General features: G+C 39.5%; 1 protein-coding gene across 22 annotated transcripts in view, besides 2 other annotated features; it reads right to left on the reverse strand.

The window, feature by feature from the left end:
- RALGAPA2 (Ral GTPase activating protein catalytic subunit alpha 2) overlaps positions 1-15,311 on the reverse strand; it is a 323,115-nt gene that overhangs the window by 202,750 nt on the left and 105,054 nt on the right. For 14 of the 22 annotated variants that reach the window (XR_937111.3, XR_007067470.1, XR_001754352.2 and 11 more), the window contains 3 exons: positions 12,896-13,133; positions 9,403-9,567; positions 6,400-6,540 (listed from right to left, as the gene is read on the reverse strand). Coding sequence is in view for 14 of the 22 variants with exons in the window: in XM_011529310.3 (XP_011527612.1) it covers positions 6,400-6,540; positions 9,403-9,567; positions 12,896-13,133 (544 nt within the window). In the remaining 8 variants the exon portion in view is untranslated. Of the gene's footprint in view, positions 1-6,399; positions 6,541-9,402; positions 9,568-10,224; positions 12,875-12,895; positions 13,134-15,311 lie in introns of those variants that run through there. The other 8 variants (XR_007067471.1, XR_007067473.1, XM_005260768.3 and 5 more) reach the window with 3 other exon arrangements.
- Positions 11,221-11,300: an enhancer, noted in NCBI's record as "active region_17613". NCBI's record gives its function as "activates an Ori minimal core promoter by ATAC-STARR-seq in GM12878 lymphoblastoid cells {active_cell/tissue: GM12878}" and the evidence as "EXISTENCE:reporter gene assay evidence [ECO:0000049][PMID:35858748]".
- Positions 11,491-11,670: an enhancer, noted in NCBI's record as "active region_17614". NCBI's record gives its function as "activates an Ori minimal core promoter by ATAC-STARR-seq in GM12878 lymphoblastoid cells {active_cell/tissue: GM12878}" and the evidence as "EXISTENCE:reporter gene assay evidence [ECO:0000049][PMID:35858748]".

Raw genomic sequence — 15,311 nt, forward strand, 5'->3', positions numbered from 1 at the left:
CAGGGTGAACACAGGCTTTCCTTGATCTCACGGGACATACTGATCCCCTTGCAAGGTACTCTAGCTCACTTTAGTCTCCAGTAGTACTAACCCAGTTGGCACCTGCTACTCTGTTCTTCCTGCTGTTCACTCCCCTATGCTAAACTCACACCTGCTCCCTCATCCCTCCTTACCATGCTGCCCTGGGAATATCCCCTACAGGACCTGCTCCCTGGCCCTGCATGCAAGCCCCATTGCTCTGTTTCTCACTAGATTCCACACTCACTGACGTAGTCATGAAACTTTACATCCACATAACTAGAATATTTTCCACAAATTTTAATTTGCTCATTACTACTACTAAGAAGAGGATAATCAAAACTCAGCCTGTATTATCTTAACTGGCTGGGTCACCTGGTTTGTCACCTGAAATGGAAACTCACTGTCAATGGGCCACCCTCTGTATAATCCTTTAATCTGAGTCATAAGGCAAACTGATGGCTCACCTTAAGCAAGAAGTATGTTGGAAGATTCTACATTTAATACAGAGGATTTCAACAAAAGGTTGCTATTTTTTCTATCCAAATGAAAATGCATTTTATAGTGTGCTGATATGGTTACAAGACCTCAAAACTATGAAATTTGTGTGATCCTTCACTTACAAAAATTTATCAATTTACTTTTTTTTTTTGCTCTGTTGCCAGGTTGGAGTGCAGTGGTGTGATCACAGCTCACTGCACACTCGACCCCCCTGGCTCAACTGATTCTCACACCTCACCCTCCTGAGTACCTGGGAGTTCTGGTGCACACCACTATACCCAAAAAATTTTTGTCTTTTCACAGAGATGGGGTTTTGCCATGTTGCCTAGGCTGGTCTCAAGTAGTCCGCCCACCTCGGCCTTCCAAAGTGCTGGGATTGCAGGCGTGGGCCATGGTGCCCAGCCCACAGTCTAACTTCAGATGCTGGTGGGAAACTGTTTGGAGTACAAGCAAAGATAGGCCAAGGTAGCAAGAAAAGACAGCTATGTTAAAGCCTCATGTTTCCCAGGTTGTCTTTGCCTTCCTCTTCTTTTGAACAGCCAAGAACTGTTCATTTTTCTACAGAGAAACACAAAGCATATGTGCACATTTTTAATCTACTTACACATCCCAAAGTACAGACTACGTCCTTCTCACAGATCTATTTCTAGTCTCTTCAGCCTTCAGCAACAGAAGCCAAATAACACCATAGGGCCAGCCCTTCCGGCTGTCTTCTCTAATTGTTTATTCTAATTATGCAAGATGTTGAAACCTTCTGGGAACAGTTTATATTTGTTAATGAATCTACTGGTTAATCCAGTATCAGAAGGGGGAGCCCAAGAGCTTCCTAACTTTCTAAACTATAATTGGCAAATGCCATTTTTTATGGATAGTGGGAAGAGTTAGTCTCTGAAGCCTGATGCCAAAAACAGATAGATGTTGGTTTCTGGGCTATGAGCAGGAGCAAATAAGAGCTGAGCCAACACTGGCAGCATCTTCCTAAAGATAAAGAACATCGCCATCTGGTGGGATGCAATATAGCCACAGCACCATTGCTTCCAAATTAGAGCGTCCCCACTGGTCCTCAACACAGCAGACGGACGGAGAGCCTGCCACCACCAGCTGGTCTGCCTTCCCAACAGGCTGGCCTAATGCAGCTTTTAAGGCTTTGTTTTTATAAAGCTGTCAGGAGGGACGTATCAGATGGAGAAAGTCCAAGCCTTCAGGAATAGCGGTCAGTAGCAGGGCAGGAGCACTCGTGATTTAGTGGGAAGGAAGGGGAGAGCCACGATGCTTAAGTGTGCTGTTGGGTTGTAGGTGCCCTGAGCTACCTACTCCTGTAGTTGACTATCAATTGAGATGGTGTGAAAAGAGAATTTTCAATTCTCCTTATCCCACAATTTAAATCCAATTTCCTGATTTGTAACAGTATATTTATTGGGATTTTCTCATATTTTATATTAAATACATGTTTTGTATAAATGAATACATGAATGACAGAAACAATTTCTTTATACTATTTTTCCTTTTTAAATAGTTCTTGGGCTCCCTCTGCTGGCATTTTATTTAAGAAAGAGCAATTTATGTTAAATCTGCTCTCATTCTGTGGGGTTAGCTGTTAGCAGTTGCTCTTTCATAACGAATGAAAATCATTTTAATAGTGATATGCAAATACCAAAAGACAGGATTATCTGATATTTAAAATGGAGAAAGAATTATATCAGTTACAATAAAATTATATAATACATCCTAGATCTATTGCATTTTCTATTTTGAATATCACACAATTTGTTTAAATCACTTCAAAGAGCTAAATTCTATCTTAGATTCACCAAATAATGTACTCTCTCTAAAGCCTAGTTAGTTCCAACTACCCAGATTTTAAAAGCACTAACTTTCTCGTCTCTTGACAGTGTAAGTTACACAATACCATTACTAAACTATTACTTTCTTTTTTTTTTTTTTTTTTGAGATGGAGTCTCGCTCTGTCGGCCAGGCTGGAGCACAATGGCGTGATCTTGACTCACTGCAAGCTCCACCTCCCAAGTTCATGGCATTCTCCTGCCTCAGCCTCCCAAGCAGCTGGGACTACAGGCACACAACTGGCTAGTTTTTTGTATTTTTAGTAAAGATGGGGTTTCACCGTGTTAGCCAGGGTGGTCTCGATCTCCTGACCTCATGATCCACCCGCCTTGGCCTCCCAAAGTATTGGGATTACAAAGTGAGCCACTGCGCCCGGCCTAAACTATTACTTTCTAAAGCTCCATTCGAAACACCGAAAAATGATCAAATAAGGATTACTTAATTTCATTTTTTTCCACTGAGAAAAGGCAGTGTGATCAAATTAAGTGTGTAAGCTCTTCAGTAACTTCTATTTTTTTTTCCAGATCTCTATTTTTCACAGCAATTTCACTCACTTTTTAAGTCTTCCTTACTCAGTCTTACATTTAGTAAGTGGAGTGAGGCTCATTCTTCAATAACCAAAATTCTGAGTTCCATTTATCCCTTATACAAGGTTGCATAAGCAAAATAAATAGTATAATTTCCTAATTTTTAAAACACCTTGCATGATACCAATCTGATCCTATAAAAAGCATAGGAAATGCATATCAGCTCAGCATCTTGAGGTTTCCCACAAGATCAAACTTCCCAAGGGTAAATCAGACCAGGTCCTGACAAAAAAGCACTTCCTAGAAGCACACAAACCAGATGCAGAAGCAGCGAGGCAAGGTTTGCCATACCATTCCAATATGCTTTTTTAGAATAAGGGGAGATTGTTGATCCTCTCATTACTACTATTACAATATTCCTAAAAGAAAAATAAAATCTACTATCTGTAAGTGCTACAGATTGATAAATGTTTTAACCTAAAAAGCAGTTAAAATTGTAGAACAGACCGGACGTGGTGGCTCACACCTGTAATTCCAGCACTTTGGGAGGCCGAGGTGGGTAGATCACAAGCTCAGGAATTCAAGACCAGCCTGGTCAACATGGTGAAACCCTATCTCTACTAAAAATACAAAAACTTAGCTGTGCATGGCATGCCTGTAATCCTGGCTACTCGGGAGGCTGAAGCAGGAGAATTGCTTGAACTGGGACCTGGGAGGCAGAGGTTGCAGTGGGCCAAGATCGCACCAGTGCACTCCAGCCTGAGGTACAAAGCAAGACTCTATCTCAAAAAAAAACAAACAAAAAACAAACAAACAAAAAAACTGTAGAACAGCTGGAAAGAACTGTTCTCACGAAGGGAAAAAAACAAATAAAAGAAAATCACAAAAAGTGCCAGTCCTACCTCCCCAACTGTGTTTCTTTATGTAGCTATTCATATTAATGGAAACAGGTGGTTGTGACTCCAAAATACAAACGTCACTTCTTCCTCCCAGAATATGAACAACCCACCCAAAATTCTGCTGCTGCCGCCAAATACAGTCCCCAAAAGATCAGAAAAACAAACAATCGTAGCTAAAAGTAAGTAATTGTCTATTGCTTATATTATTAAAACAATTTTGGTGGGTTTCTAAATCACATAGATTAGAAACAAAAACAAAAAAAGTTAAATGTAAACAAAATTAGCAATCATGTTAACTTAAATGTAAACAAAATTAGCAATCATTGATAGGGTAAGGAGCTTGTGCCAGAAAGTAAAATTAAGTGTCATATTATCTAGCAGTATGTTGGTGGGGTATGCCTACATACTTGGATTTAAATTGGAGGGCAAATTCAATACTCTAATGTGCCAACCAGTGGAGAATATACAATCTGCCCTTGGGTCAGTCTCTTGATAGGACAGTCATAAAGGACAATGGCAACATTTTAAGTAGTAAAGAACCAATGGCATCAGGCTAAGAAGCTCACTATCATAGTTGGAATGTCAGGTTGTTCTCAAAGTCACTATACTCTAAAGTTCTTTCACCCTTTGTGCTACAAAACCAAGAACAAAGATGGCAAAGGCAGGAAAACTGCAGACCGAGCCCAGGCCACTTGATTTCACTCTGACTTAGGATTTCTCAGCCTCGGCACAGCTGGTATTTTGGGCCAGACAATTCTTTGTTTGGGAGCTGTCCTGTGCATTGCAGACTATTCAGCAGCATCCCTGACTTCCATCCACAAGCTGCCACTAGCACTGTCCCACTTGTGACAATTAAAAATGTCTCCAGGCATTGTTGAAATTGTCCCCAATTGAGAATCACTGCTCTAAATCACATTTAACTTCAGTTGGAACTGTATACGTATATACAGGAACCAAGAGTCTTAGTAAAATAAAATGTAATATTGAATGAGAACAAAAGCTTCCAAAATTAAATTACTAATAGGAAGAGATTTCTTGTGGGAACATGTTCTGGACAAACTAGTGAAAAACTTAAGAGAAACAAAATATAGAAAAAAATGGACTGTGACATAAGAAAACTTTTCACCATGAAAAAAATTCTTTTGGGGTGTGTATTAGCCAAACAGGGGGTAAAATCATTTTAAATACTTTATTAATCATCTCCAAACAATAGCTTTTTTTGAAAACCAAATAATTGGGCAGTTAAAACTCAACAGTAATGTAATTGACTAGTGACCATTTTCCCATGTACCATTCTTACTGTTTTTCACCTTTAATAGTTACTGGAGAAAAAGAGTTTTCTAAGAAACATTATAGTCCTCGCTCTTGGTAAAACTTCTTCCCTTAAATTCTATAAAGTAATATGGTATTTACATAGCCATCAGAGAACGTAAGCTTTCATTTTGCTTTGCTAAAACACAGTATGACATAGTTTAGTACTACAGAAAGCCACAATTAGGTTATCTCCAATGTTAAAAAAAATACTAATCTTTGGGAGGCTGAGGCAGGTGGGTCACGAAGTCAGGAGTTCAAGACCTGCCTGGCCAACATGGTGAAACCTCATCTCTACTAAAAATACAAAAATTAGCCAGGTGTGATGGCACACACCTGTAGTCCTAGCTACTCGGGAGGCTGAGGCAGGAGAACTGCTTGAACCCGGGAAGCAGAGGTTGCAGTGAGCCGAGATCATGCCACTGCACTCCAGCCTGGGCAACAGAGAGAGATTCTGTCTCAAAAAAATCAAAAACAACAACAACAAAAAATACTAATCTACAACGCCAAATTTCTGAAAATAAAAAAGATCATGAAAATGATCTTTCTCTTTTAAGGAAGAAGATTCAGTTCATCCTAGAATCACTGAAAAATAAATAGACATAGGCCTAATTATTCAATATAGAGAAAGGTAAATCCTTCTGTTGAAGTAAGTAGGCCAAAAATGACTTTTGGTGCTATGATATCTTAATAAAAAATGTACTGTGTGTAAATCACACATGGCTAAATTCAATTTTAATTGGCTGAAGTACAGGAACAACGTTTCTTTGTTTTGGAAATTACTGCTTTTTGGCACTGGTCCTTTTGCACTCAAATTTCAATAGTATAAATCTATATAACTGGTCATTACTTCACATATATGATTTATTAACTCCAAGTAGATCCCGCCTACATACATTTTTCTAGTTTATTCATTTTTTGGAAGGCATAGTAAGCATTCTAATACTGACATTCTCAAAACTTTTATGAAAATCCCCTTACTTTCTATGGGCACTGTATAGAAGACACACTAAGGCAGGCATCACATTTCCCCCTATTAAATAGCTATGGACTGAAAAACCCTTCTATCCTTCTTAATTGTTATTGCCAAGACCAAAGTTATAGAAATTTTTCTTGACTATCTAATTGCCATTAAGTATCTAACTACACAAGAGCAATTACTAGCATTCATTGCAATTTAACACTAGTGTAATGGTCAGGCACGTGTGTGATGTGGGGATATTAACAAAGGAAGCAATGCCCAGAGGCAAGCGGGAGAAGCCCAGGAACAGTGATGGACACATGAGACAGTATTACAGTACCTGACAGCCTGTGAGAGCAAGAAGAGTAAGAGAGACCAGGTAAGAGAGCGCTCACGGTGTGAAGGAGGAGCGGGACGCTTTTAGTGGCAGGCAAAGCCTCAGAAAGGTGGACACAGTTGCTGATAGACTGGCTTCGCTTAGCTTCCAGGAGAGATAAAGTAATAATTATGTCAGAAGAACAATAGGACCTTTCACTTTATTATTATTACTTTTCTGGGCTCTCTTTAAACATTTAAAGGAGGTCATTTAAACTTTTAAACTTTAAAGGAAGTCAGTACAAAGTATAGTATTTAATTGTAGTCTCTAAATACAGCCAACTTTCAGTCAGTCATTCTCATGACACAGGACAATGGGCAATCCACAAATAATTTTATTTTGAAATGCTTTATATGTTTAGCCTTTCCTTCTTTCTGCTGTGTATCAGATTCACATTCAGGTTATTTGCCTGGACAGACATTATAATCAGTTTTCCTTTCCTAAAGGACAAATACAAAAAGACCATGGTGAGAGAGGGCATATCTGGCCTTCATTCAGAAGTTGGTTTGCTGAGAGCTGACTGTATTCAAAAGCAAATCATTTAGTAAATTAAATATCCAAAAAGCTCAAGAACACATAAAAGTCAAGTTGAACATTAAAAGATTTGATATTTGAGGAAAAGGTAAAATCTCCATGAAACCCATCCTTTTATGTCACATTTCATGCTTATTAAATCCATACATCTTAAGTGTCTACTTTACGGTGTTCTTATGTTTTCTATATACTGCTAGTCAAATAAATATTGGAGGAATTGAATGAACATAGGAGGAAAACGTGCTTCATATATGTAAAACCACAATCTGTAAAATCAGTTTTATTCTAAAACAAAAATATAAAGATTTACTTGCTGCTTTACTATTTTCATATGACATCAGTTAACATTAATGAAATGGAACTACAAATGATAGTAACACATTTGCAAAAACCGGAACAAACTTTTTACCCTACTGCCCTTTCTCCTACCCTTTGCCTATTCGAATTCCCAATAGGCTGGGAGCCTGTAATCCCAACACTTTGGAAGGCCAAGACAGGCAAATCACCTGAGATCAGGAGTTCAAGACCAGCCTGACCGACATGGTGAAACCCCATCTCTACTAAAAATACAAAAATTAGCTGGGCATGGTGGTGCATGCCTGTAATCCCAGCTACTCGGGAGGCTGAGGTGGTAGAATCGCTTGAACCTGGGAGGTAGAGGTTGCAATGAGCCAAGATCACACCACTGCACTTCAGCCTGGGCTTTTTTTTAAGACTCTGTCTCAAAAAAAATAAAAAATAAAAAAAAAATCCAATGATAGAAGAGCTGGGCATGGCAGCTCACTCCTGTAATCCCAGCACTTTGGGAAACAGAGACGGGCAGATCACCTAAGGTAAGGAGTACGAGAACAGTCTGGCCAACATGGCGAAACCCCGTCTCTACTGAAGAAAAAAAAAATTAGCCTGGCATAGTGGTGCGCACCTGTAGTCCCAGCTACTCAGGAGGCTGAGGCAGGAGAATCGCTTGAACCTGGGAGGCAGAGGTTGCAATGAGCTGAGATCGCTCCACTGCGGTTCAGCCTGAACAACAGCATGAGACTCCGACTCAAAAAACAAAACAAAAAAAGAATCCAATGATAAAAGCAAATAGTTTTTAGGAATTGGAATGAGAAAGGAAATCAGTGAATGAGCATCCTCAAAAGTTGCCTGCTAACAAAGAATTGGGTCTCTCCTCAGGGGAGAGAATGACAGAAAGAAAGAAAGAAGCAGAATAGGCTGTGCATGTAAATAAGGTGATAATTTCCAGCAAATGCTACAGCAAAAAAGTATGAGAGAGTTACAGTTAAGGTGGAATATATTTTCATAAAAACTCCAACAGGATTCTAAACCATCTGTATTAAGCCTTTACTAAGCACTATAGAATATGTTAAGCTTTAATGAATCTTTGTTTTATGGCCAGAGGATCTTGCGACTTTCTGAAGTCAACATGTTAAATATCAATTACAATTGTCTTAAACCTAAGTTACAGGCTCAAAGTCACTGGGGAGGAGGTGGCTTTATTTATTCTTATTAAATGCCGTATACAAGCTTCTTTTTAAAGAGTTCACTTTTTGTTTTAAAAGTAAAATGTAGGGCGGGCGCAGTGGCTCACGCCTGTAATCCCAGCATTTTGGGAGGCCGAGGCGGGCAGATCACGAGGTCAGGAATTCGAGACCAGCCTGACCAACATGGTGAAACCCTGTTTCTACTAAAAATACAAAAATTAGCCGGGCGTCGTGGCACGCGCCTGTAATCTCAGCTACTCAGGAGGCTGAGGCAGGAAAATTGCTTGAACCCGGAAGGCAGAGGTTGCAGTGAGCTGAGATCACACCATTGCATTTCAGCCTGGGCGTCAGAGCGAGACTCTGTCTCAAAAAAAAAGAAAAGAGAAGAGAAGAAAAGAAAAGAAAAGAAAAAAAGAGTAAAATGTAGCAAAGTAGTCCAATTAACTGGGGGTTGTTGGTCAAGTTGTTAACTGAAATACGCTGCAAAGATAACATCCACAGGCATGAAAAGGCTCAATTTTCCAAAGGAGCAAAAAATGAAAATGTCTATCCAGTCCTGAAATTCTCCTTTTCTTTGCTGAAACAGGTTGCCACACTCTAAAGATTAATATTGTTTAACACTGACAATAGTGCAACTACTGGTGTATTTATTAACAATCTATTTTCTTCAAGGTTCAAACAAAACCTGTATTTTCTCTATTTCGCACAAATATCTCACTCAATATCAACATCACAAGTTCTTTCTCACAATGGAGGATTTAGAAATAAGTAACTGAAAACTGTGATTTGAAAAGTAACCAGAGCATAAAGCTAAAAAGATGTAGAGACATTTCATTTAATATAAGGTCTAATATTTAAATTTTGAGTAGAATTTTTAACACACTTTATGCCTATAAATTTATTTTAGATAACAATTAGATTTTTGAGAAGCATTTAAATAAATGTTTACCAGTTGCTTTTTGGCGAACAATATTTCTTGCCTTTTCCACTCCCGGTGCTCCAGACGTGGTGGCACTCCTAAATCGCATCGGTTCGGTCACATCTGGGTGGCTCCGCCAGCTGAGAGAAAAGGACCTCCCCACGGTGGTTCCTTTCTGAGGATCTAGAACACAGCCTGATAAAGGAAAAGAAAAATAATCTAAAGGCTGAATTCATTATTATTCATTTCACGCTTGTGTTGCTCAGCAAATGGTGTACCTACAACTATATATAATCAGCAGGTTTCCTTGTCACAAATTAAGTACCACTTCCTTACACTGCAATTTAGGAAGTTGCTCATATGTCACTAATTTAAGAATTCTTGTTGCCAAAATATTTTCAAGAATCTAAAACAGTCTTATGGATATTATTATATCTTCATAGTACTCATTCCAATATACAAAAGAAAGTATTAATAAACCTTTCTCAATACAAGAACAATATCAAATGAAGTTATACTACTGTTCCCAGGACACTCCAAAAACCACTACTTATAAACCAAAAACTCAGAGATCCTGATGTTAGAATAGTACTGCATCCTGTAGACACCAACCCCTCCACAAATCCCCAGAGCAATCCATGCCTATAAACTCTAATGTGGATTCAGTCAAATGGGCAGGATAATGAAAATCTACAAATAATACAAAATCCTATTTTAGCAAAGGTCCAAAACAATAAAACATTGTAGTCTGAGATTCAACTTTTATTTTTCCTCATATTGTTCTGGTTAATTATTTCAATGAGAGGCTATGGACCAAAAGAAATAGAGGAGGAAAGAGAATGGCAGACTTACAGATTTCTGCACAGGTATGATGTGGCCAGTGGCTGCCACCTGTGGCATGTTTCCACACCCAGTTTCCTCTGCCTGTGCTTTTTGTTTCTAGTAGTCTAGCCCTTAGAAGGCAAGTGTTTCTATAATAAATATTTAAATCCTTTTTAGAATAAAGCAACATAAATCAGAAATATTAGTCATGGTCACTAATTAAATAATGTGTTCGGTACATTTTGAAAACAGTGTTTTCGAAGTTGTTTGCCTTCCTAAGATAAGTCTGTCTCTTTAGATGAATCTGTGGGTAGGAAGAGAATCTTGCAGAATGGCAGGCGTGTGTGTGTGTGTGTGTGTGTGTGTGTGTGTAGTGTATGCACACATGTGCACTCGTGCATGGATTACAACAATTGAAGGTAGGTCCTTATCTCCTATTTCAGCTCTCCTCCTCTGGCCTGAAAGGTATCCTTAGCCAGGTAAGTTCTCTTCTGGGCTGAGAACGACTGTCTTAGGGAGGCAAGTTCCTAGTTGGAAGTATCTGGGTCCTCTCAGGCCCCGGGTTTACACAAAGGTCCTCAGAGCTGTCAGAGAGGACTAGATGGACGCCAAGGGCCCAGACTCTTGGCTCCCTGCCCCTACTTCAATCCTAAATCTCCAGTCTATTTCTTTAGAAAGGAGTTGTGTATACCTTCAACCGGGAAGAAAAACGGATCTGTTAAAAATGTTAGAAAATCATTGCATTAGACAGTCTAAATCTACATTGGGATTAAACTGTTCCACTGGATTGCCATGTACTTCAACTACTTTATTTTGGCTTCTTACTAACTTGCTTTTATTAATTAGTGCTTTGGCAAGCCATTCTCAGATTTCAATGAAGATATAAGAATCCACCACATTTATTATACGTGTATATGGTTTACTAACCACTGTAACTGGTTCACACCTCCCTGTATCCACATCCTCTGTTGTTCTCTCCTGTAATGACATTAGGCTTCATCACGTGACTTACTTGGTAGCAAAACTGAACAAGCAGAGACTTGAAATGCACTTGAAAATTTGAGCTTACCCTCTTACTGCCCCTGAAACTCTAAGCCACTTGGTGAACAAGCCTGAGCTAGCCTCTGGCTGCTGAAACACGTGGCCCAGTCACACCTCATTGCCCCTGCTGACAGCCAGTCAACCCGTAAAAGTAGAGCTGCCTAGCTGACTATTTCACAGCGTGGTTGACTGCAAACACAGAAGCAAAGACCAGCAGAAGAACTGACTGGCTGAGTCCAACCCAAATTGCCAACTCATCAAATCAAGATAAATAAGTGGTTGTTATTTTAAGCCATAAGTTTTGGGGTGATTTGTCACATGGCAAAAGCACACTGATACTGTCTATAAGGCAGCTGGTATTATTAAAGGGTAGTCTACACAATAAGCAGTGTGTACCCTTTAAGAAGCTTTGAAGGAAAAATTCCTCCCAAGTCTCAGGAGGACCTAATAAAAGCTAAGCATCACCTAAGTGATTGAATTGTTTTTACCCTATGTGCTCTGTGATTCTCTATTTGATGTAACCCTGCAAAGACCAAAATCAAATCCAATGTTTGACTTTTCCATCTCCCCAGCAAGCCCACGAGGCTCTATGGCATGTATTTTGGCATTTTAATCACAATGGCAGTTCCCTGCAACCTCACTCATTTTGACCCTATTTTGTATTTGATCTACTGTACTATATGCCTTTCTATGAGCTGCCTCAAATCTTTACAGAGTAAGGTGTAGTACAAGTGAATTAATCCAAGGACCATGCCACATCCTTAAGCACAGTAATTAAGGGGATGCCAAATTGTCATTCCTAATAGAAACTACCACTGATGTTTTCTACCTTGAAAACATAACTTTCATTTGAGGTTCTCAGTCCCAAAACAACTTTTACCCAGAAATACAACAAAGCCAAAATAGCTCCCATCTGAAGCATTCAGAATTTCTCCACGTTTCCTAGAGAGGCTGTAGAATGCATCTTAATAGTGTGACATCTTGAGTTGTATTTATCCAGCTTTGATTTCTAAACACTTCTTAACTATGTGGCCTTGGATGAGTCAATCACTGTAAGGCAACCTTGTCCAACCCGTGACCCATGGGCCACATGAAGCCAAGAATGGCTTTGAGTGTAGACCAACACAAATTCGTAAACTTTCTTAAAACATTATGAGATTTTTTTTTTTTTTGCAATTTCTTTTTTTGTTTTAGCTCATCAGCTATCGTTAGTTTTACTGTATTTTATGTGTGACCTAAGACAATTCTTCCAATGTGGCCTGGGGAAGCCAAAGGATTGGACATCCCTGCAAAGTCTCTGTACTTCAGTTTCTTTGTCTGTGATATGGGGATAATACAAGTATCTACAGTTCACTAGGTTATTATGAAGGTAAAAAGAGATAATATGTACAATGTAATAGCCATTATTATTACTGTTAGTTATCACTACTATTACTACTACCTTCCTTGCATCTTCCTTCTTGCATAGCTTCCTCAGAAATTCACCATCTCATTAAGGGAACAGAATGATATGAGACACAAATTAATGCCACTATTAAGAAGACACTGTGTAGTTGGTTCAGTTCATTATAAAATTTCGCGCATTAATTGCTTAGTCATACAAATACACACTCGTCCCCAGTCCTAGACATCTGGTGTTAACCTGGAAGAGTGGAAATACCTTTGCCTCGTTGCTTCTTTTCCTTTTGTTCACTTAATTTATCCAGAGGTAGGTTTGTCATCTCAACTCCATAAACGGTTCTTGCAAGCACTGCTGTCAAGGAGTCCATAATGTTGGCCCACTCGTTTATAAGTTCCTCCCATTCCGTGAGGGAGGACAGCACACCAAGAAAGTCATCCCAGAGCTCTCGAGAAATGTACACACAGAGGTTTGCTCGGATCCAAGCTACCATGAGCGTCTAAAACCAACCAACCAACAAGAGAATTCACACATCTTCATTTGGAAAAAGCATACTTTTAAACAAAATGTTTTAAATTACTATTAATAACACAAATTTTAAAATAAAAAGTACTTTTGGAAGTTGTTTTTCTTTTAATTCTCAAAATTCATTTGACCAACTATAATCAAAATTTAAGCTATTGGGGAGTTAGTTATCATTATGAACAAAGTTACTGATTCAATATTGTTCTAGTGTCTGCAGCTGGCCCTGGCTATAATCAGAGAAAAGACAAAGCCCTCCGCACAGTGACAACTCTGCTTCCTGAGACTGCTCTTTTCCTACCATCCACAGTGGCTACTTCAAACCTCCTACAGGAAAACCGCCAGCCCACCAAATCCTCCCTGACTTTGAGCAGATGGATTCACTGCAGACTTCACAAGAAACAGAACCCATTCAATGAGACTCCCCTCAACCTCTGCCCATGGACTCACATTCTTGCCCATATTCACCCAGCTCCACCTCCACCTGTGGGCTGAACTCCAAGAGGGGCCCCGCTCTGCTACCCTGTTGCCCCCTTACACTCTGGACCCCTTCCTCGGAGTCTTCATGCCTCTCTTAACCACCCCTCTCCTTTAATCTCCAGCCAACCCCACTTCCCCAGCTCTTTCTCTTCAGCATTTAAATATACTCCAAACTCTTCCTCATCTTAAAAGAAAAAATTCCCTTGAACCCAGATTCCCCCGTCTAGCTACAGCCCTTTTCCTTCCATTTTCACAGCCAAACTTCTTGAACGAATGTTCCACACCCGCTCCATCTCCACTTCCTCATCCCCCAGGCAACAGACTGCTCTGGTTCTCCCCTTTCTGAGGCCACTTCCACCTTCTGCCTGAGTTTTGGCTCCATTCCCATGGCTCCAGTTATCCTCTGTGTGCTGCTGACTTCTGAATCTCCATGTCCAGCTTAGACCTCTCTACTGGTTTCCTGATCTATCTACCTAGGTACTAGACAGTGCTACTTACACAACCCTCAGGCACCTATCAAAGAGCATAATAGTAAAAGGTATTCAATTTCTTCCACTGACTTTCTCTCAGTGCCTTCACCTGCTCGCTCCTGCATCTGGCCTTTGCACATACTCTTCCTTCCCTCTCTTTCCTCCTTTTTGTTTCTGTATAACTCCCCCTCATTTCTCAGGTCAAAATTTGTGCATCACTTCCTCCAAGAAGGTATCCTTGACTATCTCCCCACCACCACCTCCCAGCCTCCAGGAAGTGTCCTCCAGGTCCCTGCATTTTCCCCCCATCAATGCACCTATCACACCTTTCCTTCACAGTCTATTCACTTATCAGTGTCTGCCCCCAGTCTTATAGTCCACAGCACTACAACTGGTCACCTGGACAGCCCTATGAGACAATTATGCCTATATGCTGGATATTTCCTTCCCATAAAATTGCCCCATTCCTTACCTCTGCCAAAATATTCACCATCCTTTAAAATTCAAATCCAAATATATCTTCCCTGAAAGAAGTGCCTCTACATAGCCAAGTCCATCTCAAATGAGCCACAAATGCTTTCCTAAGCCTTGTGAAAAGGAATCCTTATACCCAAAGTCTATGTAAGTCCCATAGCCTGGTGTCAAAGAGAAATGCACTTGTTAAGATACCAGCTTGCATGTGCATTGGCCCAACCCAGATGCAAATAGGCTCCCACTCTTGTCAGGAATTCTTCTTTGCGTAGGTGAGTTCACTTCTTAATTTTTTTCCCCAAATTATATATAGATTTTTTAATGGAATTTACTCTTTAACATAGATACAGGAAAACTCTGATAAACAGAAATCAGTCTATAAAATCAGACAGGCCTATTCTGACCACCTGGAAAATCTTATTTAAAGTGGTCCTTCTGTAATACGCCTGTTCTCTGTTTCAATTTGTGTTTACCACTTTTTAAGAACATAAAAATGTTAAAGTAGGACTAAAGTAGTTAATTATATAAAAAACAAGATATTAACCACTTATATTTAAAGTCTGATTCTAACATGTATGAACTTGGTAAAACTAAAAATATGAAAGAAAATAAAATAATTTTATCTTTATTAAATATTTTATTATGACTAAAATGCCATCTCCTATTAATTTTTATACCCCTGCTTTCAAGATGAATTTGAGGCCATTGCCATAACGTACCTATAGACAATAAAA

This window comes from Homo sapiens, chromosome 20 (genome assembly GCF_000001405.40).
Source record: "Homo sapiens chromosome 20, GRCh38.p14 Primary Assembly".
NCBI lineage: Eukaryota > Metazoa > Chordata > Mammalia > Primates > Hominidae > Homo > Homo sapiens.